This window comes from Homo sapiens, chromosome 4, assembly GCF_000001405.40.
Source record: "Homo sapiens chromosome 4, GRCh38.p14 Primary Assembly".
Lineage (NCBI taxonomy): Eukaryota > Metazoa > Chordata > Mammalia > Primates > Hominidae > Homo > Homo sapiens.
Genome location: NC_000004.12, coordinates 11418122 through 11445344, shown reverse-complemented (window position 1 = coordinate 11445344; position 27223 = coordinate 11418122). Strand labels below are relative to the sequence as shown.

Here is a 27223-nt window from a genome sequence, read left to right as displayed (position 1 = left end):
CTCATGGTATAGGCCATGGAAATTATTAGGGGTTCTATAAGTCAATGCAACCCTTCAAAAAGAGACAGCAGGCCAGTGGGCATATATATATATATTATATATATAATATATAATATATTATATATTATATATATAATATATATTATATATTTATATATTATATATTATATATTATATATAATATATTTATATATAATATATAATATATAATAATATTTATATATAATATATAATATATAATAATATATATATTATATATATATTATATATATAATATATATTTATATTTTGGCTACATGATGTCATAGGCTTCCAATTGAATTTGGTTTCTACCACTTAATTGCATATTGCTGATAAATAATTTACAACAAAGTTAGCAGCATAAAACACCACACATTTATTATATCACAGTTTCCATGGATCAGGAGTCGGGCCTGGCTTTGTTGAATCATCTGCCTCAGAGTCTCATCTGGAAGCTGCAATCAAGGCATCAGCCAGTGCTGCAACCTCACTTCAAGGGTGGACTGGGAAAGCATCATTTTCCAGGCCCATTTGGTTGTTGATAGCATCCTGTTTCTGGCAAGCTGTCAGGTTGAGGGCCTTAGCTTCTTGCTAGCTGTCAGCTAGAAGTTGCCCTCAGTTTCTGACTATGTGGCCTCTTCCCAGGGAACAGATCACAGCCTAGAACCTTGCTCCTCACAGCCAGCAAGGAAGCAATGTTACAATCACACCAAATATAATTATGTACATGCAATCACATATATCCCATTGGCTTTGCCATATTCCATTGGATAGAAGCAAGTTACAGGACATGTCTATACTCAAGCCAAGGGGATAATCAAAGAGCATGATTACCGGGAAGCAGGGGTTATGGGGAACACCTTACAGTCAGTCTATATGTCACACATAGAGCTTCTTGTTGGTGTGTGCTATTGATGCTACTCTTCTATTCCCCCTGAGAAACCAAGCAAAGACAGTACAGTACTAGAAATGAGCTACCTCACATAGTGAAGTATACATTGCAGAACCTGAAAATGGAGCTCTCTAGCCATACCAGGATTAACAAGACACAGTTGTTTCTCCTTTGTGTGGACTACCTGCTGCATTTCCTTTCCCAGAAACCAAAGCCTTCATTTCCCAAAATACTGTAGACAGAAATCAGTAACTAGATGAAATGAGGGGAGTAGGCAAACAGGGAAAAGTATAAAGATCTACATTTGGATTCCCCAAACCACCTGCACAAGTTGAGGCAGAGCTTGACAATAAAGGCTCCTGGAAAAGACTTAAGGGATTTGGTTGACTCCACATGGGTCAGCAGCATGATGGGGCTGCCAAGACCAGTGAAGGCAACTGGAGGCTGTGTTAGACTCAGTATAATTTGTCTAGACAGAGGGAGGAGACACTCTTTCCTCACCCTGTGCTACTCTGACCACACATGGATAATGATGCTAATTGCAGATCCCATGTGCTAAGAGAGACATGCATCAAGAGCACCTGCAAAGAGGACCCCCAGGAAACCAAGGACATTAAAACCATGGGAGATACCAAAATGGATAAGGACTGGGAATACCTATTCTGCAAAGATAAAATCCTAAGATGAATAGTAGCACTGCTTTCAGGCATTAGAGGGCTGTCATATGGATGAGGAATTAGACGGTTTTATAGGAGCCTAAGGGATATAACTAAAACCCATAGTGGAAGTACAGGAGGATTCAATTTCTGCTCAGGGTAAGAAACATTCTCCAGTCAGCACAATTGCCATGGCAGATAATAGATGCTTCTCATTGGAGATCTTCATTGAATCATTCACTTATTCCACAAACATTTATTAGCTCCCACCAACTGCCAAGCTCCAGACTATGCAGACATCCAACGAAGAAGATGCATTTCCTGAATGCACCTTGAATAAGACAAACAAACAAACAATTTCAATAAAGTGCTAAGTGCTGAAGTAACCAATGACCCCCAAACCTCAGATATTTCTTTCTTGCTCATGTCACATGTAGGAGGCCACAGCTCAGGTCCCATGGTTCCATGTGCCTTCTCATTCTTGGGACCAAGCCGAAGGAACTTGGCACAGGAAAAGAGCAATGAAGCTGGTAAAAACTTATAATGCCTTTGAAAACTTCCTCTCAGAAGGAACTAATCTGCTCCCCTTCCGTTGACTGAAGAATGTCACTTGGCCAAGCCTGGCACCAGTGACAGAAAAGCACAGGGGGCCACTGAAAGTCATATAGCAAGAGGCAGGTATGTCTCATCCTCTATGGAGATGCAGGGAGCAGATGATCAGGAAAAAATGAACTAATCAACTATAATGCCCTTGGAGACATGCTGGGGGATTTGAAAGAGAAAACTAGTCCTTTCCCCAAGAAGAAATCAGAGATTGTGTGGAAAAGATAACGCTTCAGAAGGATCTTTGAAGATGGTGGCCATTCTTCACAGGCTAGGACTATCACTGTCACTTTCTAAAGTCACTCTATATTCACACATATATGAATTATACAGAATAATGCAATTTATTTGACTGTTTATAAATCAGTTAGCACTAGTCTAAGCAGCATAGTTTTATTGCCTGGGGAGAAAGGTGAAAGAGTGAATAATCAAACTTTCCACTTGGGGAGAGAAATCTACAGAAATTTAAATGAGGTAAATGAAATTTTACAGTTGAGAAATTATAGTTATGAAGATCTAGGTTAATCTGGGAATGAAAGTGGGTGAATCAAGAGAAAAATATAAGAAGCTGAATTTAATTAAGAAACCTAGAAGGAAGATATTAAGAGCTATTGTCCACGAGGAATAATAAATGAAAGATTTTTCTGTCATTTTTGGTTTCAAAGGCCTAAATTGTGGTTTTTCTATCCTCCTCAACAAACTTTATCTGTGAAAATTCCACTGATAGAAGGAGAATAACCACGGTGATTAAAGTGTGTTTATTTGTTTATAGGAAATTTTTATTGTCTGGCTACTGGGAGCAAAACAATTTTCACTAGGGCAGAAGATAAAAATTGTCCCTTTTTTCTTAAATGTGGCCAGTGAACCAAGGGAATTTGGATGAGGCAAGAATGGGCACTTGGCCTAAAACACTTAATTGCTCCCATTGTGCACCCTTTAATTTTTAATACATTTTATTTCTGCATTCAGGGAGTAGTTTTTACTTTGCTTTGTTGTTGTTGTTATTGTCGTTGTCTTCCTCTTTCTCCTGCTGCAGTGCTATTCTTTTAAAACTTTTGCAATGAACATGCTAAATGCCAATTGTACCATGCAGTGCCTGTGAGAATAAGTGCTTCCCTATCAATTTGCAGCTTGAAAACTGCCTTCTTCTACAAGGAAAAATACAATTTTAAAAAATAGTGTTGGGATTGTAACAAAATTATCACAGTACTTCTCACTAAAGCTAGTACTGGGGCACAATTAGGGGCAAGTATAGTGAGTTTCAGAACTTCTGAGAAGTTGTTGTGCAAGGCAAAATGTGTTGAATGGAAGTTAGAAGGCCTCTTTGGATTTCTGTGTCCACAGTTCTTAGCAGTGTTCTTTCGGCTAAGCACAATAATACTGAGCACTTACTCTGTGCCACATTTGGCTTGAAGCTTTTCTGTGTATTAACTAATACACTCCTCATAACAATGTCATATGTGGGGAGCATTATTATTTCTATTTTATACGTTATAAAACTGAGTCACAGCCACTTATCCCAAATATATAGAGACTTTTTAGAAATCACTAACAAAAATGCAAACAAGCCAATAGGAAACAATAGGCAAAAGACAAGAATAGGCACTTCATGAAAGAAGAGACCCAAACAGCCATTAAACACTGTAACTAATTACAAGTAAACTAAACTGAAAGTATAGCTAAGTAAAAGTGTTCAACTTCATTTGTCATCACAAAATCCAGTGAAAACCAAAATGACACACTACTACCTACTCAACAAAATGGCTAATATTGCAAAGACTGATACTACCAAAATCTTTGAAAAAAAAACAGAGAAACATGACTGGTAGGGTATGAGTTGGCCTCACTTCTTTGGAAAGCAGTTCAACATTAACCATTCAAGTTGAGCATTTGAAAGTCCTGTGATGTGACAATCTCACTCTTAGGTTTACACCAAATATATGCTTGAAATCGTGTACCAAAAAGCATATCTATGAGTATATTAGTCAGGGTTCTCTGGAGGAACAGAACTAATAGGATATATGTATATATGAAAGAGAGTTTATTAGGAAGAATTGGCTCACACGATCACAAGGCAAAGTCCACAATATGACTTCTGCAAACTGGGGAAGAAAGAAGCCAATAGTGCCTCAGTCTGAGTCCAAAAGCCTCAAAACCAAAGAAGCTGACAGTGCAGTTTTCAGTCTGTGGCCAAAGGCCCAAAAGCCCCCAGCAAAACTACTGCTGTAAGTCCAAGAGTCCAACGGCGGAAGAACATGGAGTCTGATGTCCAAGGACAAAAACGATCCAGCACAGGAGAAAGATGAAAGCCAGAAGACTCAGCAAGCCAACTTATCCCACCTTCTTCCACCTGCTTTGTTTTTGTCTGAGAGAGGACTGCTGGCCATGGATTGGATGGTTCCCACTCACATTGAGGAGCATGAGATCTTCCTCTCCCAGTCCACTGACTCAAATATCAATCTCCTCTGGCAACACCCTCACAGACACACCCAGAAACAATGACCAGCCATCTAGGCATCCCTCAATCTAATCAAGTTGACACCTGATATTAGCCATCACAAAGAATGTTCATGAAACCATGATTTGTGAAAGTCCTAACTGGAAACAGCACAAATACCCTCAACAGAAGGATGACTAAGAATATTTAGTACATTCATACAATATGACATTATTCAGCAATAAAAATGAGCCTTAGCCCATGCAACAACATGGATGAACTTCATAACAATGTCAAAAAAAGAAAAAGGACTGAGACACAGAAGGATACTATATGACGGTAGTGAAATAAAGTGTCAAGATTGCAAAAGTAAGCTCTAGTTTTAAAATTCAGGATAGTGGTGACTTTGGGGAAAGAGGAATCTTATTATTTCTAATTTTTGTAAGTTTCCCAATTAGCTATAGTGAACAGGTAGTAATATACAATGAAACAAATACAAAAGTAAATTTTTAAAATTCAGCTTATCCCTTGAGTACTGACATGTGGAGGTTGAAAAGCAATGCACAGTCCTCTCTTAGGTATCATCTGGGCCTGCAAATGCTTCTTTCTCCTCTCGTGCTTTCAGCAAGTTCAGTGGAGAATTTTGCTATTCGAAACTTCTCCATTGACACTAAAGCTGTGCTTCCTGGGTGCATGTACAGATCCCACTTCCTTTCTGAGGCTTCTCCTTTTTCTGATCAGCCAGCTTGAAGCAGAACTCCCTAAGCCCTTCCATTAAAGCCATGTTATTTCCATGAGTATGTGAAACATTTTGAGAGTTGGTACCCATTTCTAGAACACAGTAGTATCCATTTCCTGACTGTTTAAATGATTTAATAATTGGTAAGTGCTCAAAATTTGATTTGGAGTTATTTTACTTTCTTTATTCCCTATTATAACATATAATATAAAAGATATTATAAAAGTCACACAAAAAATGATGAGAAAATGTTCTAAAACATGACTTCAGGGGCTGTTTCAAATGTTAAAAAATAACATATTTTCTTTACTTTAAAATGACTTTTTTTACATGTTAATATTTATGAGATGAAGATGATCTCAAGATTGATGGCATTTTAGCATTACTGTTGGCCAAGCAGTCTACATGATGTTGATGTCACTGACTGACATTGATGGCCTTGCTCCTATTGGTAGGCAGACTCTAAACTGGCCTCCAGTGATCCCAACCTCCTGGTATTTATTCTCTTGAGTAAACTCTTCCCTTGAGAATGAGACAAACCTAGTAATTTGGTTTTTTGTTTGTTTGTTTTTTGAGATGGAGTCTCACTCTGTCACCCAGGCTGGAGTGCAGTGGCACAATCTTGGCTCACTGCAACCTCCACCACCCAGGTTCAAGTGCTTCTCCTGCCTTAGCCTCCCAAGTAGCTGGGATTACAGGCCTGCGCCACCACACTCGGCTTTGTATTTTTAGTAGAGACAGGATTTCGCCATGTTGGCCAGGCTGGTCTCGAACTCCTGACCTCAGGTGATCTGCCTGTCTCGGCCTCCCAAAATGCTGGGATTACAGATGTGAGCCACCATGCCCAGCCCTAGAAACTTGTTTCTAACAAAGAGAATATAGCAAATATAACAGGCTGTCACTTCTAAGATTAGATTACAAAAAGACTATGGCTTCTATCTTGGGCATTCTCTTTTGCTATCTTACCTGCTCACTTTGATGAAGCCAATATGAATTGACCTATGAAGAGGCCACACGACAAGATGCTAAGGGAACCTCTGGAACAGCCAGCAAGAAACTCAGTCCAACAACCTGCATAGAAATATATTCTGCCAAAAGCCACACTGGTTAGCTTGGAGGCAGATCCTTCCCTGGCGAGCCCTGACATGACTACAGTCCTGGCCACCACCTTGATTACAGCCTGGGACGCCAGGAGCCAGAGGACTCAGCTAAGCTATGCCAAGACTCCTGACCCAAAGAAGCTGTGAAATAATGAATATGTGTTGCTTGAAGGCATGAACTTTGGAGGTAACTAGTTATTCAGAAAAAATTAACTAATACACTCATGTTACCATTACTTCAATTGAGGAATCAGTATTATTTGAAGTACATATGACGAGTATAATTGCTCTTTAAAATATCATTTAAAATGCACTATGATTTCACCTGGGAATGAAAAGATAGCATATATGAAAGTAAACAAAAACCAGAAACAGAATACTGGGGTATACTTGTAGCTTTATAAAGTCAATGCCCTTATTTGTAGAAATAACCAGGAATTATACATTCTCTTGCAAAGCAACAACCAAATCTTTGTGGGACTGTATTAGTTTGCCAGGGCTGCCATAAACACAGTATCACAGACAGAATGACTTAAGCAACAGAAAGATATTGTCTCTCAGTTCTGGAAGCTAGAAGTCCAAGAGCAAAGTGTTAGTGGTGTTGCTTCCATCTGAGGGCTGTGAGGGTGAATCTGTTCCACATGTCTCCCTTTGACTTGTAGATGGCTGACTTCTGCCCCTGTCTTCACATCATCTTTCCTCTGTCCTTATCTCCGTGTCCAATTTTTTCCTTCTTATGGGAACAAAGTTACATTAAATTAGCATCTACCCTAATAAACTCATCTTAAATTGATTACCTCTGAAAAGACCTATCTCCAAATTTAGTCACATTTTGTGGTATTGTGGGCCACAACTTCAACATATTAATTTTAGCAGCATACAGATCAATCCATAAAACCATGTAAAGGAACATATTCATAGGTTCTGGGGATCCGGATGTGTACGTCTTTGTGGGGGCCACTATTCCACCGACATCAAAAGTGAATGATGTGTTCTCACTCACAGATGGGAATTGAACAATAAGAACACTTAGACACAGGAAGGGGAACATCACACACTGGGGCCTGTTGTGGAGTAGGGGGAGTGGGGAGGGATAGCATTAGGAGATATACCTAAGGTAAATGACAAGTTAATGGGTGCAGCACACCAACATGGCACGTGTATACATATGTAACAAACCTGAACATTGTGCACATGTACCCTAGAACTTAAAGTATAATAAAAAATATATATACATATAAAAGTGAATGAGGAAAGAGAAACCATGGGGACTTTCCTACTGCTGCAGTATGAATGGCATGTCACCCCTGTGAATGGGGTACAGCTATCCAATATAGAAAGAAAATAATGTGCTCTGCACAAGGAACACCTCCCAGACTTGATTATTCAAACAAAAATGGACCAGTTGTTTAGTTTTCCATGGAGGGCCTCTTCCTCTTACTCTGCCCGTTCAAGGTCACTTGCTTTGCAGGTAAGTACAAGTCAACTCAGGCAACATCCACAGCTCTGGGTAATGGCACTATTTGAAATCAGTTGCAGAAGGAATATTCCCTGGATTCAGTTATTCAACATATATTGATGTACAATATGAATACATATTGAATAATGAACAATGAATAATGAACAATATTGAATACAACATATATTGATATAAAATACAATAGATTGATGTACAATATGCCATATGCCTTATACTATTAGTGACTTTCAACTGCACCATTTAACCTAAATCTCAAAATATTATATTATATGTAAATATCATTGTATTATTTTATTTAAAAAATGAGGTTCAGGGAGGATGTGTAAGTGGATTTGAAGGAAAGAGATTCAAACATAGCAATATCTGACCCAAAAATCTTGTTCTTTGAGAACATTCTTCTTTCACTATGATCTTCAAGCATCAATGACCTCTGGAGCAGATGTTGTTTGTTCTCAAGAACTGTTCCCTTAAAGCAGGTGTCCCCAGCCCCCAGGTTGTGGACCAGTACTGCTCTGTGGCCTGTCAGGACCTGGGCAGAACAGCAGGAGGTAAGGCAAGCCAGCACTGGCTGCCTGAGCTCAGCTTCCTGTCAGATCAGCGGCGGCATTAGATTCCCACAGGAGCCAGAACCCAACTGTGAACCGTGCATGCAAGGTTGTGCGCTCTTTTATGAGAATAGAATGGTAAGTGTAATGGGCTTGAATCATCCCAAAACCATCCTTCACCCCACCCGGGTCTGTGGAAAAATTGTCTTCCTCGAAACCAGTCTCTGGTGCTAAAAAGTTTGGAGACTGCTGCTTTAAAGAGTCTGCAATACAGAGGTCATTCATTCAGAGTACTTAAGAGAGTTGAGGAGCTTTTTTTTTTTCTGTATTAATTCTTTCTAAGGAAGGTAAAACCATCTGATTTAATTCCTTTTTGTAATAACAGCACACATGCATTCAGTGTGTACTCTGTGTCAGGAACTTCATGTGTGATAATATGAGAAGGGTGTCATTATTTTCCCCATTTTCCAGAGGAAGAAACTGAGGTTAAGTAATGTGGGTGAAGTTATAGAGCTAATATTGCAGAGCTGGAATCTGCTGGTTCCAGAACTTGCCCTCTTGGGGTTTGTGATATTGACTGCATGTCTATTTTGGGGGAGCTCACTTCCTGTTCTCTTTCTACTTATAAGTAGGGCCTAAAAGACATAAGCTATAAACACGATAGACTCACAAAAACATCAAGAAAAAGCCATAGCCATGGTAACAATTAACGAACAGGACAGTGCATAATGAGTGCTAATTATGGGCAAAGGATAAGTGAATTAGGAGCCAGAAAGAAAGGGATACAGAAAGCTCATCAGTTTTGTAGCTTTAAATCAGCCACGATGAATGACACCCCTCTTCCCTGCTAATGGAACGAAGACTAAGACAGATGAGAGCTAAGTATCTCCTTTATTACCAATAGAGGCCATGATGGAGGGTATAACTGTGACAGAGCCAAGATACCCACTAGCTGAACCCCAGAACTAGGCACACTCACCCAGGGAGGAAGAGGCCACCCCAGACCCAGGTAGATCTCTCTCCTACAGGGAAGCATCCCTGAAGAGCAGCAGAGAAGCCTTGCAGGCTAAATGCTCCCTGCATGCATCTCATTCCCAAGAGGAAGGACAGAGCTGATGTAAGCATTTAGAGCCATTCTTCCCCAATTTATCAACAAATAATTCCCTCTGTCTCCTGAGGCAGGCAGAGTGTTTCTGCCAACTCAAAGTGGCTTCCAGGAAGAGGTGAATACATAAAGAAAGGCAGAGTCCATAGCTGGAAAGGGCATTATATACTCCGAAGAATACACCAATACCTCTCTAATGTTTAGCTCCATGAGAATAAGGGTACTGTCTCTAGCTTGCTTTTGCATCTCCAGGGTCTACCCTAGTGCTGGATGGAGACTAACAGCTAAAGAATTAAGTGATGCTGGAATGAATGTGTGACCCTTGACAAAAAAGCTGATCTGAAACACCACATAAAGTCAAGGGCCTCAATGTGAGATAAAGTTTGCTGGAAACTGCATCTCTATAATAGCTTTTATATTTAAAGGATGATTATATGTGGGGAGAGAAAAATAATTACACTGAGAACTGAGCTTTTAAGCATAGCATTTTCCTTTGTCAATTAGTTGACTCAGGGCAATTAAAACAATATCATGAATGTAGGATTTAAATACCTTACGGATAGTTAAATTCCTGGAATGTAAGTACATGTTGAAGGTATGAAGAACTCAGATCTCTTCTTCATTTGAAGAAATGATGTAAAATATAGTGGAGTCCTCTTTCTAGTTTTATGAAATATATATGTGCAGGTAGAGAATGGGAGAGAATGCTATCATGAGACAGGAAGAAAGCATGGAACTTGACTTTGACCTGTTTCTAAATCCAACATGGCTAGTTGCAAGCTGGAACATACAACCTTCAAGAAGTTACTTCTCTGTACGTAAAATTAGGGGAAAGGAAAGGAGAATGTTCAAATCTCCCAGCATACAGCTACTCAATAAATGCCATGTTTTTATTTGCCTCTTCATTTCTCTTTCTTGTTTCCCATACCATCTAGTAGATTTTTCTGAGATTGCACAAAATAGTTATTTTTCCTTAGTTTACAGAACTTACTTTACAATAATCATTATGGTGCATATATTGAAATAACCTAACTTGATTAAATATGAAAGCTTTTTTTTTTAATTTAAGAACTAACTGCTGGTACATATACACCATGGAATACTATGCAGCCATAAAAAGGAATGAGATCATGTCCTTTGCAGAGACATGGTTGGAGCTGGAAGCCAATATCCTCCACAGACTAACACAGGAACAGAAAGCCAAACGTCACATGTTCTCACTTATAAGTGGGAGCTGAACAATGAGAACTCATGGACACAGGGAGGGGAACAACACACACTGTGGCCTGTCAAGGGGGTGGAGGGAGGGAGAACATCAGGAAAAATAGCTAATGCATGTGGGGCTTAATACCTAGGTGATGGGTCGACAGGTGCAGCAAACCACCATGGCACATGTTTACCTACATGACAAACCTGCATGTCATGTCCTGCACAGGTATCCTGGAACTTAAAAGAAAATTAAATTAATTTTTGTTAAAAAGAACTAATTGCCTAAGCTTCAAAGCATTCTACAAAATATTTATTTCCACCACAAAGCAGATTAATATATATATAGCCAGTTCTTATAAGTGTCATTGTAAACATTTCCAAAAGAACAGTGTTCCAAAGTCTATGGAAAGAGAACTCTACCATTGTGTAAGAGACTTCTTGTGGCATTAGTGCTATTTTAAATCTAGAATTAAAACAAGGCTTTGAAAGGAAAAGCCAGCACCATCAGTTTTCAGGGACAATAGGGACATACTCTAGAGGACTTCAGTGAGGACTCCAAGACAGAAGAGAGCTGCTAGAAACAGCATGTGCTGATTGAAGTTGAGAGTTCAGAGTAAGAGGTAAGGGTCTGAGAGTCACAGTTCAAATGCTCCTTGGACCTTCTATTACAAATGGAACTAGGGACTCATGAGAATGATTAGATTGAATTGTAATTTTTCTGTTAATGCACATCTGTGAGCTCCTAAGTAAGGGATTGAATTTCATTCTTCTTAATAAATCTCTACCCATGTACCTAGCACACAGGCTGCTATATGGGAGGTACCTAATACATATTGATTCAACTGAACTGATAGGCCTGCCAGGAGGAAAACTTTTTTTTTTCTGAAGAGTGTGAGGTTCCCAGTATCCTTGAATAAGGCCTAAAAGAGCAAATCATTAAGACCGACTCATCAAAAGATCAGCCAGCTTTGGTCCCAAAATCTAAAATCAAAGAGAGTGCCACAATTTTCCATCGCCCTGAAGGTATTCCAGCACTCAGCAGGGGCCAGTAATTTGAACAAGGGGACCACTTCAAGCCTGCAATACTGCAATTTTTCTAACACTGATGTGTGTAATTTTGGCCACAGTTTAACACAGGATAACAAATAAAAGCAATATTCTATTTGTCTATAGTTGTTTACATAACACCATAGACTATAAGCTTTTTTATGAAATTGTATTTACTGTGCATACTTTACCTAAATTAACTAAGCATTCCTCCTCTGCAATATCATCTGCACAGGGCTAAATTCTCCATTAGAAGTCTTAGGCACACTGCCCAGAGCTTATGGTACCTTGAGGGCTTCCCAAAAATGATTTAATTTCTTCTAAAAATCAGAAAAAGATAAACTTTTAGATTAAAGAAGATATTTAAATAAAGAAGAAAATATACTCACCTTTATACTAATGTAATCATAAGATATAATTTTAACTTGGCAAGGCAGGGAGCAGGATTCATAAAGGAAAACATCATAAAAGTCATAACTGGACCTCATAACCACATATGCCAAGATGTGTCAAATTTGGTGTCATAAAGTAGATAATCTTAAAAATCCTGTTTTCAGAAAAGAATCACTCAATTTGTCATAGATGGATGGATTGTTGTTACATACACAGAGACAAAATTGGGCGTTGGGACGGGATGGTTGGGGAGGCATGAGATGGGTGAGCTGAGTTGGAAGGAACAACAATCCTCCATGTTTTATGGCTGTGACCCTCATTTCCCCTCTCACTAGCGGACTGCTCTAGCTAATTAGCAAATCAAAAGAAATAGAAACAATTCTAGACCTCAGCACAATCAAATTAGTGGAGTTATTCGAGGATATCATTTTCACACAGTGCAATCATGCTCTCTTTGTTTTGGTCAAACGAGTGAAAATTATCTTTCAAACCCAACGCCCTTCCCTCTACCCAACTGGCTCTGTGGATAGTGGCATTTCCTATCTGCTCTCATAAGTTTTACAGATGATCTTTTTCTATTAAGACAGGAATGTGCAATGCACAATTAAACAATACCCAACAAGCTTCCCTTTTAAAAATACATTTGACTTTTAAGGTGATTCAGCAGTAAGAGCCATTAGTACCTCATCTAAATCAGGACTTGGAAAGTTTATTAAAATTGGATTTTTAACCTGATCCCAATTTCCTTTGTGGATAAAGAGTCCCACTGGAGTCTTTAATATTCATGCTATTAACCTGAAAGATTCAAACAGCCATGATGGGAAGAAAGGCTATACAGGGCTGCCCACTAGACTGGGGGTTACAAATAAAACCCCATTGAGTCTGAGCAGGTAGACTACTGTGGATTCTGGACATCTTCAAAAGAAGCAACTTCTCTCTTTTTCTCTCTCTCCCCTTTTCCTGACCTCCCGTCTCCTATTACATATTTTGTGGGAAAGAGAAAAACCAGAAAAATAGCAAACATAAGCATATTACTTAATTACATAGAGCACTAGACTAGGAGTCTAGTTTTTACTGGAAGGGTAGCTTCCTCCTCTAGTGCTCTAATGAAATCCCTCAATTATAAAATAGGGAAGTCTGGGCTAATAATCTCTAATATTGGTTGAGAAGATGCACTTTGGAGTCAGGTGAGAACTCTTTGAATATCAGCCCTACCACTTATTAGTATGTCACCTTGAACGAGTCACTAAACTCTCCTAAACCTCCGTTTCCCCATTTGTAAAATGAACAAAAGGTGCAGCTCCTATGATTCATTTTGCATAGTACCTGGCACTATAAGCCTTAGATACACTTTAGCTGGTATTATTACTGATTATTGCCCAAACTCATAGGTCAGTTGCTTTTGTTTCTATTTCATGCCTTTTCACTCCTTGAGCCTTTATCTTCTTTAGAACAGTTTACAACTGTGTTAACTCATGTCTGTGCGTGTCTGTAAAGGTAGGCTAGGAGTGTTTGCCTTGTTTTTCCTTGAGATAAGATTTTATGCTCTCTTAGGGCAATGGAGATATCTTATTTTTTCATCTCTCTCTTAGTAACTGGCATAGTGTTGTACACATACTAGGTGCTCAATAAAGACTTCGAGATCTTAAAATATTAGCAGTACAGAGATCTTCCACTAAAACCCTCTCATTTTTCAGTTGTTGGAACTGATAAAAAGAGTCTTGGGCCACACAACTGACTGACAGACACTTTTGCAGTCAACTACTACTGTGTCTCCTAACAGCCTCTATTCTCATGCCCACGGCTTTGAAAGGGAAACATGTTTGACTTAAACCCTGACTCCTTGAGGGAAGTTCCATTTACAAAGTTTTTTTTTTTTTTTTTTAAGAGCATAGTATGTTTCAGATACCATGCAGGATTGTAGGATTCTGGGATTCAGATACCATGGAGGATTCATCATTAAATCACGATACCCAAGCTCAAGGCGTTTATAATCTATTAGAGAAGACAGATCCCTAAATAGATGTTTCAATAATGTGATTGTGTTGTCATAGGAGAGCTAAGCTCTGGCACTACATGAGCTTCTGGATAAGAAACCTAACTCATGACCAGAAGACTTCAGGGAGAGCTATTTAGGAGCAGTGGCAAATGCCTGGACATACACATAAAACTAAGTAAGAACAAAATAGCCAGTTGGTGTTTTTATTTATCTGAATGTAAGAACATAGATTATCGATCAATGAACAATTGCTCAGATTTAAAAAGAAATGAGGAAAACTAAAATGTTAGTCCTCAAATTCCTGTCACTTCCCACATGTGCCCTGCAGTCATTTCCTGCAAATGGAAACTTCCAACAAAATCTCTGGGCTGGAGACCTGGGGTTCCAGTTTCTTTCAAGGTCTTGTGGTAGGGAACTAAGTGGGTGAGTAACCTGCCTTTGGCTTCCAGGGTGCAAACAGAATCATTGCTAACCCCCTTTGTGTCTCACAATGGGTAATGAAATTCATACTATGGCACCAAAGCACTTTGAGCTCTTTAGAAAAAGTAATCATACCAACTTAGAGCATTAAAACCACCCCGTATTTTGAAGGACTCATGATCTGCACTGTGCTTGGCTGCTGGTGGAAGCTTAAAGACACCAGTAATTGGCAGAACTTTATCTTAGACTTCCATTTGACCCTCACAACCTCACACATGATTTTACACAGCTTCCTATAATGGGGGAGAAAAGCCCTTCTTTTAAATCTAATGTTAGTTTAAATGCTAAGGCTTTCAAAGTGGGCCTTTAAAGTCACTTTTTAGAATTTGTATTTTTTTTTAACCTAAAATAGACATGCCAACATTATTCTGACTAAAAGAAGTAGACAAGGTCATTCAACTCCTAAAAGCTTATTTTCCAAAAGCACAGTTAGGTCTCAGCTTTCAGGGTGCTTCTGGCTGTATCAAAAAGACAGAATATACTGGTCACTGTGTTGTTTTCTGAAAGTGCCGAGGGTAATCTGTGTATGAGTTAAAGGGCCAATTTCCTATAGGAACCTTCTCTTAGATGGGATTTTTTTTTAATTAAACAATGTTGGTGAAATATATTTAAACGTAAATCACAAATTCGAAGTCTTCCAAATATTTATTTACTAATGTGGAAGACATGGAAACTACAGTAATCTCATTTAAAGGAAGTTACTTTGATGTGCATTTGCTTTTGGCGGGGTATGATTGCTGACCTGCCTTTGAGGGCAACTTCCTTTGGCTCAGGTAAGCAGGCAAACCCGTTTCTCCAAGGCGATTCCAACCCCACGCCCCTCAAAACCTTAAATCTTAAATTGAGTTATTGGGTGCAGGTCCTTTCTCCCACAGAACCTCCCAGCTTCCGGAATAGAGGAGCGGGGCAGAAATATCCTGCTTTTTATTTCAGAGCTGACGTTTGCAATCCTAGTGCACTAGCGGAAAAAAAAAAAAAAAAAAAAAAAAAAAAAAGCTGAATTTTCCGCGCTCTCCTGGCAAATTGGCGTCCGCTCTCCGACGCTAAACCAAAGGAAAAGGAGTGTTCAATGGCGACAGGGCGCTCTTTGAAGCCGGCTCCTCACGCGGATTCTGGCCCAGGCCGCCGCTCCGGTCCCAGTCCGGCTGCAGAGCGAATTGGAGAGGATGGCACCTCCTGCTTCCCGGGGGGCGGAAGGAGCGCCAGCGCCTAAGGTGGGTCACCTGCCAGGAAGGGAATACGCATGGTGCAGACTCACGTGGGAGGAGCACAGGTCCCGGGTACAAGTGCCGAGCTGGCGACTTAGAGAAGAGGTAGACTCGGGCTCAGACCAAGCAGGCGTAAGGGAGTAGACGGGACGTCCCGTGTTTGCAGTGACGGCGGAGTCACCCATCCCAGCAGCCTCACCTTCTTGGAGCGCTGGTCCCTCCCCTTGGACTGAAACCCCAGGGGCCACCGCACCGGGTGGGCGGGACCGACTACTACCCGACCAGCCGCTGGAGCTGCGTGCCAGGCGGGGCTGTGCGGAGCAGCTGAGCGCAGAGCGGAGCACCAGGCACCTAGCGGGCCGGACTCTGGGCGGCACCCGAGCGGGCCGGGCAGCAGTGGGCGCTCGCGATCCTCCTCTGCCCAACGCGCTCTCCCTCCGGGCCCGGCCTCCTCCGTCCCCTCCTTTTGCTCCCGCTCCTCCTCCCGCTCCTCCCCCTCCTCGGGATTGAGCACCAAAACGCCCGCCTGCAAGGTCCTCTGCGCCCTGGCAGCCAGGAGTCGCCGCCACGACAGCCGGGTCTCAGTGGGTGCCTGCGCCTTCTCCCCGCCCGCCTGCCCCGGGCCATCCAGAAACTTGCTCTACCCGCCGCGGGTGCTCGGCAGTGCTGCCCATGGCCCAGCCTAGGAGCCTATTTAGGGCGCCGGACGGGCTGGACAGAGGCGCGGCTCAGGTGAGTGCGGCGCGCGCGGGGTGGGAGAGTGGCAGGACGCAGGTGTAGAGGGCTCCGAGGTGCCTTTGTCTGGCGTTCTGGACTTCGGGCAAGTGCAGAACCTAAGAAGAATCGAGGCTGGAGCAGGTGGAGTGGATGCAGAGGGAACCAGGAAGCAAAGGCTGGGGATTTTCCCATCCTCCTCACCTCCTGCCCTAGCACCTCTGCTCTGGAAGTCCCGAGGGACCGGTTGATCTGTAAGGACAGGGACCCAGATTTCTGACTCTTACTGGGTTGGATGTTTTCCCCCCCTGCAGAGTCGTGAGGTTCGCTCCTGCCGGCCGCTTCGCGACCGCAGCTTCACCATAGGACCCTGTAGGGCAGCGAGAGCGCAGCACTCAACGGATCCTGGGTACCACCTGGGGCCAGAAACTGGGGCGAGGACACAGCCCGCAAAAGTAACTCGGCTGAGGGAGCCTTTGGGGGTGGAGAAGCCTTGGTCGGGTTTGCCTTTGCATTTGGTTGGAGATAGGCATCTCCCAAAGAGAGAGATTGAGGTGACAGCCCTGACAATAAACCTCTCATCCCTAATGCCAATTACATGAGGGTCTTGATTTTTTTCTTGTTACTTTTTACTGATTTTTTTCCCCCTTCGTGGTTTTCTATTTCCGGGCCCTTGGGTAGTGGCAGCGGATGGAGGTGAGGGATGGCGGGGTGCGAACCCGCGGTTGGAACGCCTAGACCCCAGCTCCCAGGAAGGGTCTTATTCGCGGAGCTTGACCTCTCCAGGTGCGCTCTACCAGCCAGGGGGCGGACGGCGCGCTGCTCCTCCTTCTAGCCCCAGCCTGTCCCAGGAAGCGGAGGACAGACCCAGAACGTAGGCGGATGATGGGAAGAAGAAGCTGGAGCCAAAGCCGGGTGCCGGCGCGGGATGGGGTGTGCTGGGCTCTGCAGTTATAGGTCTATAACTCTGCAGTTATAGGCGCTATAGGTCTTCCATCTCTTTCCCTCCCCTGGGAGCCAGCGATTCCTCGCACACTCAGGGCGCTCTCTTGGGCCAAGGGTTGCATCCTCCCTCTTCCTCCTCCTTTGCAGATCCAGTGGTACCCTTGCCTCGCCTTGCGCGAGTCTCGCTCCTCCCTTTCCCACAATGTTATCATGAGCTATTTTTATCTACAACTTGTGCCAAGATGCTTTTGGGGGGATTCTAGGGAGGCCACTCCAAATCCACTGTCTTTGCGCTGCGCTCCGAGAAACAGTCTCCTGTTAGCATGGAGCAGCCTCAAGGAGTGGCGGGGAGGGTGGCCGAGAACGGAAGGAGCCAGTCCGCCCTCTTCTCCTCCCTCAGCCCTAGCCCCGGAGGGAAACCCCGCCACCACCAGCTCGGCTGCGCCTCCCGCCAGTAGCCCCGGAAGAGGGTCCCCAGACGAGTCCCCACGCTCCCGCTTTCAGGCGCTGGGTGCTTGGACACTGCTGAGGCAGCAGCCTGGCACAGGCAGGATCCTTCATTCCCACCCGTGCGTTCTCGCTTTGCAGGCAAATCTCATTTTATTTTGTTGAAATGCTTCCACCCAAGGGTTAATTCCAGGAATTCCATCTTTAAAAAAAAAAGAAAAAAAAAGGAGGGAGAAATAACCCAACTTCTGCCTCCCTGCATTTCTAAAGCAAAGCGCATCCTTTGACGTTCGGATTTTTTTCTTGCTTTCTGCATTCCTGGTAATATTGGGTAACACTGGGTGCAATTAGAATAAGCCTTACCTACTGAAATTCCAGGAGACGCGCGCTCCGCTGCAAATCCCTGCCTTACCCTTCCCGTTGTACATCCAGCGCTTAGATTTTCCCCCACAGGATTGCAGAAATAACATATTGAAATGGACCATTGTGTTACATAAGGTTTTCTCCAGCGCTAAGCAGAGAAAGAACAGCTTCTAAAAGAGTCTTTCCAGGTTTTGGTTAGCCCATCTAACTCTTTCAGCTGAGTTTGACAGGGATGGACAACTTCATGACTAAGCACTCTTAAGTGGAAGCAGTTAATTACAACAGCAGCATAGATGAAGATTCCTTAGTGAGGCTTATTAAGCTGTGCTTCTAGACTGTGGATCCTCTGTGATGCCACAGGGTATACAATGCTCTGTAGTTTTAAGATAGGAGATTTTTGTTCTGAGAAGCTGGTGAGAAATTGGCATCTTGAGATGGCATCGGAAAAAGCAAAGGGTTCTTTACTTTCCTGTGGTTATGTCTAGAATGAAGCCTCAAGCCCCCCCCCTGGGTCCCCCTAAAAGTTGGAGCATGTACTTTTCTTATTAAAATAAGAAATTATTTTACTGGAAAAATCTTGTGAGGGTTGGGGGGGGGGCCTCTGAAGGGAAAAGCCACATGGAAGCTTCTCTTGCCTTGAATTGAAACTCGATGGTGACTAGGAAGGGGCTAGAAAGATGGCCTGGGTGGTGTAAATTGCTTCACTCATGCACACTGCCTTTCTGAGAACATAGCAGCTACCCACAATGGCATATCCCCACCGTGGTTGCTAAATCATGTCTGTCTATGGGGGCTAAAGTTTGGAGGAAGGCACAGTAAGATGTATCTGGTGTCCTGATGAAATTGAGCCTGTAGGCTGGGTCAGTGCTCAGGCACCAGGTTTCCGGGCCTGCATCTAAGCCTGGGTCCCTGTGTTAGAGACAGTTGTTGCAGGAGAGTGGTAACTTTTTAGCAGCTTCCAGGGAAATGCAGTAACTTTCCAGCTAGTGCTGGAAAATATCAGGGCTATTCCCAGTTTTTTTCCCCTCAACCTGGCTACTTGACCTGGTGCTTTCAATTGAGGCTGCTCTTTTCTTATGGCAGAAGGCAGGAGAGTGCTAGCTGGATTTAAAGCCAACTTCTTGCCCCATGACCTTGGGCAACAATTTCTCCCTCCCTGACCCTAAATTTCTTCCTCTGCAAAACAGTGATGAAAAGATTATTATAAGAAAGTGAGAAAATGTATATGAAATGCATCTTGCCGATTGGAGAACACTTGTGCAATTGTAAAGGGTAAAAAATACAAAAAATTAAGTTTTATCGTAGATCTATTTTAATGTTCATTTTAATCATAGTTTGCATATGTCTGAGTAAATGACATATGCTAAACATTAAGTGGGAGAGATTTCTTTTAATTGGCCAGTCTCTTCTTGTGATCACTCCACCTGAATGCTACAAGCACCGGGCCTCACTACTTCTCAGAATGATTCCTTTCTTGTTTTCAGGATCACAGTCAATTTTTAGAGTGTTTTTCCTTTTAACATAATACACATTACATGTCTTAAGAAAATCTGTTTGAAGAGAGGGCCCTGATGTTAATTAATAATTTTTTTAAAAAAGGAGAAAAGTCACAAATGGGGAGTGACTCCACTGGGGAAAAGTAAAACATGACCAGTGTCACGAGATGACCCGGGTCCCCCTTGTCTGAATCTTTCATCAGCATAATGCACTGGCTCCTCATCATTGCATTTTAGGTGTTGTTCCAAACGTGTCTCCAGAACCTAACTCAGTGCCTGCCTGGCACTTAGACATTCAATAAGTATATTTGGAATAATTGAATGAGTGATTGGACTGAATCTTCACAGCAACCTTGGAGAGCAGATGGCGTCATTTCTATTTTAAGGATTTGGAATCTGCCGATCGGAAAACTTAATTAATTTTCTAAAGGTACAAAGGATTCCAGACTAGAATTCAGGCCTGTCTGTTCTTATTCCACTCTACAGTCGTGCTTGTAGTGCCCTCTCTCTTCAGACTCACTTAAAACCCTTCTAAGCAGTTGGAACCAAACATCCTATTTAGGGAACACAACCTTCCCTTCATAGAAGGATTTTTTTTTTTTTTTGTGGGAGATGGGCCTCTTTCTCCTTGTCCATATCTCCCAGCCCTGAACTAGGGCTTAGTTGAATGATCCCACCTGGGGCCTGGAATCTTGAAAGACTAGCTAAAGGGCACAGGGACATTGGAGTGTTTATTTACCACCTTGGATCATGGATCAAGTGGCGTTGGCAGCAGTATGCATGTCCCAAGCTGTGGTCCCAGAGGTGCCTTTTCTGCAACACCATCTTGATGTGCCTCTGGTGCCCAGGTTCCTTTCATTCCTTCTCATTTTCCAATCCTGGCTTTTCAGCTTCTCAGCAATTCCTAGAGGCAACCCATAGTCTTCAAGTGAATTCCCTTTCTCCCTGACTTAGCCAGAATTGCAACCCACTGATGTACAGCTTCTCCCCATTCATCTTCAGGCCTGTCTCCAGCATGAAACATCCTTAGCTTCCTCTACCCATGGGGAATGAAGTCTGTAGCTTTTTCAGATCGTTAGAATAATATCTACTGGGCCGTAGTTTGTCAATAGTTATGTGCTACTACAAGAGGTCTAGAAAAATGAATACATTATTCTTCCAAGCAATACTCTAAACATAACAGAAATAGATCCCAGTGGGCATCTTTCTTTTTCTCTAATACATTATGCTTTTTGGTAGTTTTCCAGCAGGGGTCGCAAACTCTAATGTCTTCAGCAGCCAGGCAAGTAACAGCTTGAGTGGAACAGGACTTGGGCCCTGTGCCTGGGTAAGTGGGGGTTGTAGCCCAGATCCAGCACAGGGGCTGCAGGCGGGACTTCAGGTCTGGTCTTGCCAGACCTGGTTATGTTTTTTTTTTTTTTTTTTTTTCAAGATAGACTGTCAATTCACAGTTTTATGTAAAATCTACTCACTTTCAAGTGCCAGCAGCTAATTCGATATTCCTAAATAACACCATGTGGGCCAAACCAAACATTTCTGTGTGTAAGCCTTATATCTGTCACACAGGCCTCCAATGTATGGCCTCTGGTTTCCAGGGATATGAGGGAAATTTGGAATATGAAATTCAGGAGGGCATGTTGTTCAGAATATCGAGGCAAGAGTGTAGGGACATGGAGCACAGACAGTGCTCTAGTTAGTTACTGTTTACAGAGTGAACCTCTGTTCGGGATGTTCCTTCTTCCTATCTCTGCAAGTGGTTACAGCAATCATGTTTACTCCTTTAACACGTTTATTGAGTTCCAGCCATGTACCGCATATTGTTCTGCTCACCGGTGACACAGTAGGGAACAAAACAGATGGAAGTCCTCGCCCTTGTGCTTATCTTCCAGCAGAGGAGACAGACAAAACACAAGACAGATAAGCAGAATCTCTCCTAGTTAGATAGTGATGTGCTAAGGATTAAAAAATAAAAACTAGAGGAAAGTGATAGGAAATATCAGGATACTGGGGAGAAACCTTAGGCTGTTAGCCAGGGAGCCTGCAGTTCAGTCTCTGGCTCAACATAACCCAAAGTTAAATTTCATTATCCAACATAAAATATTTTCTATGTGGGAGTTTGATTGTATCCTGGGTCTATCATCCATTGGGTAGTTTTGGATATTGAGCTATACTCTCAATTTTAATAAAACTGACTATTGAGCACGTTTATTGTCTGCCATGTACCCGGCATTGCATTACGTGTTAGAGTACATTGATGAACAAAACCAGTCAAGGACTACTCTGCAAGGAAATTATAGACCAGCATGAAATACATTAAACATGATCTCAAATGATTAGGCAACTACAGTGATTGAGGACTGTGGTAAGGATGCCTTAATTGTTGAGTTTTCATACTCAGAACTCTGACGTTCAGCACTTTTTTTTTTTTTTTTTTTTTTTTTTTTGACGGTGTCTCGCTCTTGTTGCCCTGGCTGGAGTGCAGTGGCGTGATCCCAGCTCACTGCAACCTCTGCCTCCTGGGTTCAAGGGATTCTCCTATCTCAGCCTCCTGAGCACCTTTTAACTTGATCATTTGTTTTGTTCCAGGAACAGTTTACATCTGTGCTTATTAACTTACTTTAAGCCTGCTCCCATCGTCCACGGAAATTTTTTTGAGGCTTTAATTTCTTTATCTGGCAATGACATTTTTATTATAAAATTTCATTTTGCATTATTAAAAGTATTTATTTTTAAAAAATGTGTTCCAAGTGTAAAGTGTGCTTGTGCCCTTGGAGACTCTGGTACACCTTCTCCCAAATCTGCCCCTACCTTTGCTATTGATTGTCGTTCACAAGGCAGTTGTGCAGGATATTAAGAAATAGTTCTTGTCATTGATGAATTTACAGTTTAGTATGGGAGTCAGATAAATAACCGAGTCTCTGCCTGTCTCATGAGATGGACCATCCCAAGAATATTTCCCTTTCATCACCTTCTTTCTTTCATGGTAATAATTTCTTCAGTAACATAATTAGGTAGCAAGTATGTTTATCTGGAGTCACCTTGTTACTGGATTGGCTTATTTGCTTACTTTCTCACACTCTCCCACCAGAATATGTGCTCCAGGAGAGCAGGGGCAGTGTCTGTTTGCTCCAGTTTCTAGAACAGTGTATTGCTCAGAAAAGAAGAAACAGGCGGCATTTCTGTCTGGGGGAGTTAGGAAGCGGTTCATGGTGGAAGAAATATTTAAGAAAAGAGATGTGGTGAGAACAGCCAAAGAAGAATGATAAGACGTAGTCAAAATTGCATAGCCCTCAAACCTTTGTTGAAAACTCATTTGTCTATTTTAGGGATTCCCAATACGGTCAGTCCAGCTGAATAACTGGCATATTAATACAAGCGCTTTGCTGAATAGATCCTGGTCTGCTTGTGCAAAAGCACTCTGGCATGAAAAGAATGTAGTAGATAATTCCTTACTTTCACATAATGTGACAATACCCACTGCCTCCTTTATCTCTCGTACCCAGTCCTGCGAGGACTGCAGGGGAGCTCTCACCATCTTCATTTGCTATTTAAGGAAACTGAGGTCCAGAAGTGAAGAAACTTTTCTTAGAGATGCCCAGAGTAAAGGTGGCAGACTCCGGATCCAGGGACAAAATTCTCTACCTGCTGTGAGCAGTAGGCTCAAGGTGGAGATTTGTTAAATCCCTGGAGAACTGAGTAGTCCACATTTTCTATAAGCAAAGAAATACATTTAGATGTGAAACATTCACATCTCCTTTCATCCCTCAAGAACTTCTATTTCAGCATTTTATGTCTTGTCGAATTTCCACTAGAATTCCTGCAGATGAAGTACTTGTACACCCTGTGGTAGGTTGTTTTATGTAAATGTCTTCACTCTTTAGTTTAGGAGGGTAAATCAAAGTTCTGTGTCAGCAGTTAAAATACAGTGAGAGAAAGGTGATTTCGGCTGCAGCTGAAATGAAAAGCAAGCTTGCCTAGCTGTGCTCCGAAAAATACATACTTGTGTGGCAGGGAATGAGAGTGGGCTGGGAGCCTCCTCTGGAAAACTGGCTTGCACTTTACTTGAATTACTTCTAAAACCAGATCTCTCCCAGTGTCCTGGGTAGGAAGGAGGGGGAGGGTGTTGGTTATAGATTTCTGAGATTAGATTTTGGAGCTATTTTGTGGTTGAAAGAGCATGACTTTGGAAGTCATGTATGTTTGAATTTCTGGCCTGGTTCTCACTAGTTGTGTCACTCTGAGTAATAGACGGTTTTTCTGGGCCTCGGTTTTTTTCCATACTCTAGTGAGGATTGAGGGAGATGGCCAATATATAGTGCCTAGCACAATGCTCAATGTGTTTTTCCTTGTGTAGATTTGCCAGATTTAGCAAATACAAATACGGAACACCTAATTCAATTTGAGTTTCAGACAGACAACAAATAATGTTTTAGTATAGTATGTCTCAGATACTAAAAAGTAAGAAATGTGTCATGTTTCTCTAAAATTTCAATTTAACTGGACATCCTGTATTTTATTAGCATCCCTATTCTCCTGGTAGCAGTTCTGAACGATTCTTTTCTGAAAGTTCTTGTGCCATAGAAAGATAAAGAAAGCAGTGTTGTCTTCAAGGTGAAATGACTTGTCCAGGGAGTAGGGTCCAAGATGAAAGAGAAGGGCTGTTTTCTTTGGTGAGCTAAGCAACAGAACAATCAAACAAAAGCAAGCTTATTTCTTTGCTTAAAAGGACCAAAAGAAGTGTAGAGCAAAACAGAACTCTGGGCATTGAAGAAGTGAGTCTGATTCTTGCTTATGTCACCAAAGCACAAGCCAGATTATTCTCAACACCCTTCAAGAAGAAGGTATTTCAACCCTGTGAGGCCACCAGCGTAGTGTTCGTTCCGCTAAGATAGAACCTTATTAAATACTAACATTGCTCCAAGCTCGTTACTGTAGGGCTGGAATTAGAAAGACTAGCGTCACACAGCGTTCCACTGAGTACACTGAAGGGATACTTTGTGCTTTGAAAACTCACACCTGAAATTGCTCCTGCAATAAAAGCTAATAAAACTGTTAGAGAGCTTTTCAGACTCGCTCCCCCCAAATAGATGAACACAGATTATAAATTGAGTCTGAGATCTCTCCTGCGACTGCTGGAGCATGACGTTCTGAGGAGGGCTGTGAAAATGTTGCATTTCCATTTCAGGTGATAGACTGATGGGGAACTAAATTAACAACAGTTTTGTTGCGTGTGGTCTTTCCAAAGCAGAGTTTCATGCTTTCTTCAATAGTGAGGTACTGCTCATGCCAAAATAACCAGTTCCTGTTGCGTGTAATATCAGTGACTCCTCATTTAACCTGAGCTCCTAACTAGCAGGGTGTTTACATGAAATATGGGACAGAAAGAAGGTAGAACAGCAGTATGATTAGTGTGAAGGCTTAACCAGCCAGAGAGATCTGGTTAGAATCTGCTATGCTGCTTTGCAGCCATGCCATAAGAGGTGAGCTACTTTACAGCTCAACGTCTCAGCTCCACCTCCACAAAATAGGCTTAATTAAAATTATAGCACAGATTTTATTTCATGTGCATTAAATTAATAAGTTATGTCATGCACTTATACGGTGTCTGGTTCACGGTCAGAATTTTTTTTTAAAGGATGCCATTAATGATGAGGGAAAGCAAGGAAGGCCTCTGGATTGCAAACTCAACGTCCTGTCACAAAGACCACAGACTAATTTGTTTTTTCAAATTATATTCTTAATGGGTTAAATGTGCCCCTACCATATACGTTTTATTACTAGAAGGCCCCTACTTTTTCTTTTTTTAAAATTTTATTGTATTTTGTTTTACTTTAAGTTCCAGGATACAAGTGCAGAACATGTAGGTTTGTTACATAGGTAAACGTGTGCCATGGTGTTTTGCTCCACCCATCAACCCGTCATCTAGGTTTCAAGCCCCGCATGCATCAGCTATTTGTCATAATGCTCTCCTCCCCTCTCCCCAACCTCCGACAGGCCCCGGTGTGTGTTGTTCCCCTCCCTATATCCATGTGTTCTCATTGTTCAACTCCCACTTAGGAGTGAGAACATGCGGTGTCACAAACTAAATTTTATGCATCATATTCATGGGAGAGTGTCTCAGTTTTTTGCCCTTTGTTTCTTTAGTCTTAATTTATATAATTCAAGCAAGCACTGTTATTCATTTTCTAGGCCAACCAATGAGATGCAGCAATGTAGCAAAATATGGAAGGAACAGTGAGGGGGAAGATGCAGAAAAAGTACAAGGAGAGGAAGAGAAGTGGGGAGATAAGGCAAGATGGATAGAGGGAGAGAGAAGGGAAGAGAATACAGGACAAGAGAGAAAAGAAAAATCATGACAAGCAGAAAAAAGGATTTGAAGAGCATAGAAGTCCAGTGATGTTTTGTGACAGGGTGGTCTTCAGCAGCCCCTGAGTAAACCCCAACGCAGCCAGACCACTGAGAGTGGTACATGCCACTCCCTCTCCCTGCCTCAGCAGAGCTTCTGAGGACCCCAACACAACACCTCATGATCTTGAGGGAAAGACATAGAAACTGTAGTGTTCCAACTAGAAAGCATATGGAGCATGATAGGAGCAGTGAGCCATGTGCTTTCTCCCCAGTCTGTTTCTGTGACAGCTGAACATCACAGATGAAAACTGAAGACAAGGGACCTGAGTGCCATCTTGTGGAGGGACAGGCCATGGTGCCCCTGGTGGTCCTCTCACTGTGTGGGGGTTTGGTTTGGTTTATTGGTTTGCATGGTGTATCCTGGCCTTCCTCCTGTCCCTAAGCCCCACCTGCCTGCACCATGGGAACTGATCCTTTCTGGGGTGATGAGTACATTGTTACCAGTCATTCTGTGATGCAGGATCATTCTTGGGGCCAGAGCTCCATTCGCCACGCAGTTTGAAATTCATGGTGGCTCTGGGTATGAGAGACTATTCCCTGATCCAAAAGGGAGTGTAGTATTTGAAGCATTTGATGACAGGGAAATGACTTTGCCTCATCGAACCTTTGTCGCCTTATCTGTCAAACAGAATTATATTTCCTTATGGACTTTTGTTGTGAGAATCACATTTCATAATGTATGCAAAGCACCCATTAGAGAGCCTGGTATGTAGTTAAGTGTCTATAATGCTGCACTTAATAGCAATGATTATTTTTCTTGCTGGTAAGCCTGATTTTGATTGAAAAGCAGATTACAAATGTCATCATAGATCTAGCTGCTTATTGCCTTCCAGTCCACCTCTGCCTTCTGGCCGATCCTCCCCTCCAGGTGGCTAAAGTGCCACAGTGTCCCAAAGCAGCCGATGTCATCACTCTGCTCTAAAGTAGGAGGGGAGC

At 42.2% G+C, this 27223-nt stretch overlaps 1 protein-coding gene across 2 annotated transcripts in view, besides 2 other annotated features; it reads left to right on the top strand.

Moving 5' to 3' along the window:
• The first annotated feature begins 11017 nt into the window (after positions 1-11017).
• Positions 11018-27223, top strand: part of HS3ST1 (heparan sulfate-glucosamine 3-sulfotransferase 1) — a 41178-nt gene continuing 24972 nt past the window's right edge. Inside the window, exon 1 of one of the 2 annotated variants that reach the window (XM_011513913.4) lies at positions 11018-15920. The gene's annotated coding sequence lies outside the window, so the exon portion shown is untranslated. Of the gene's footprint in view, positions 15921-16450; positions 16647-27223 lie in introns of those variants that run through there. The other variant, NM_005114.4, reaches the window with a different exon arrangement.
• Positions 16306-16485: a silencer, noted in NCBI's record as "silent region_15283". NCBI's record gives its function as "represses an Ori minimal core promoter by ATAC-STARR-seq in GM12878 lymphoblastoid cells {active_cell/tissue: GM12878}" and the evidence as "EXISTENCE:reporter gene assay evidence [ECO:0000049][PMID:35858748]".
• Positions 16576-16795: an enhancer, noted in NCBI's record as "active region_21321". NCBI's record gives its function as "activates an Ori minimal core promoter by ATAC-STARR-seq in GM12878 lymphoblastoid cells {active_cell/tissue: GM12878}" and the evidence as "EXISTENCE:reporter gene assay evidence [ECO:0000049][PMID:35858748]".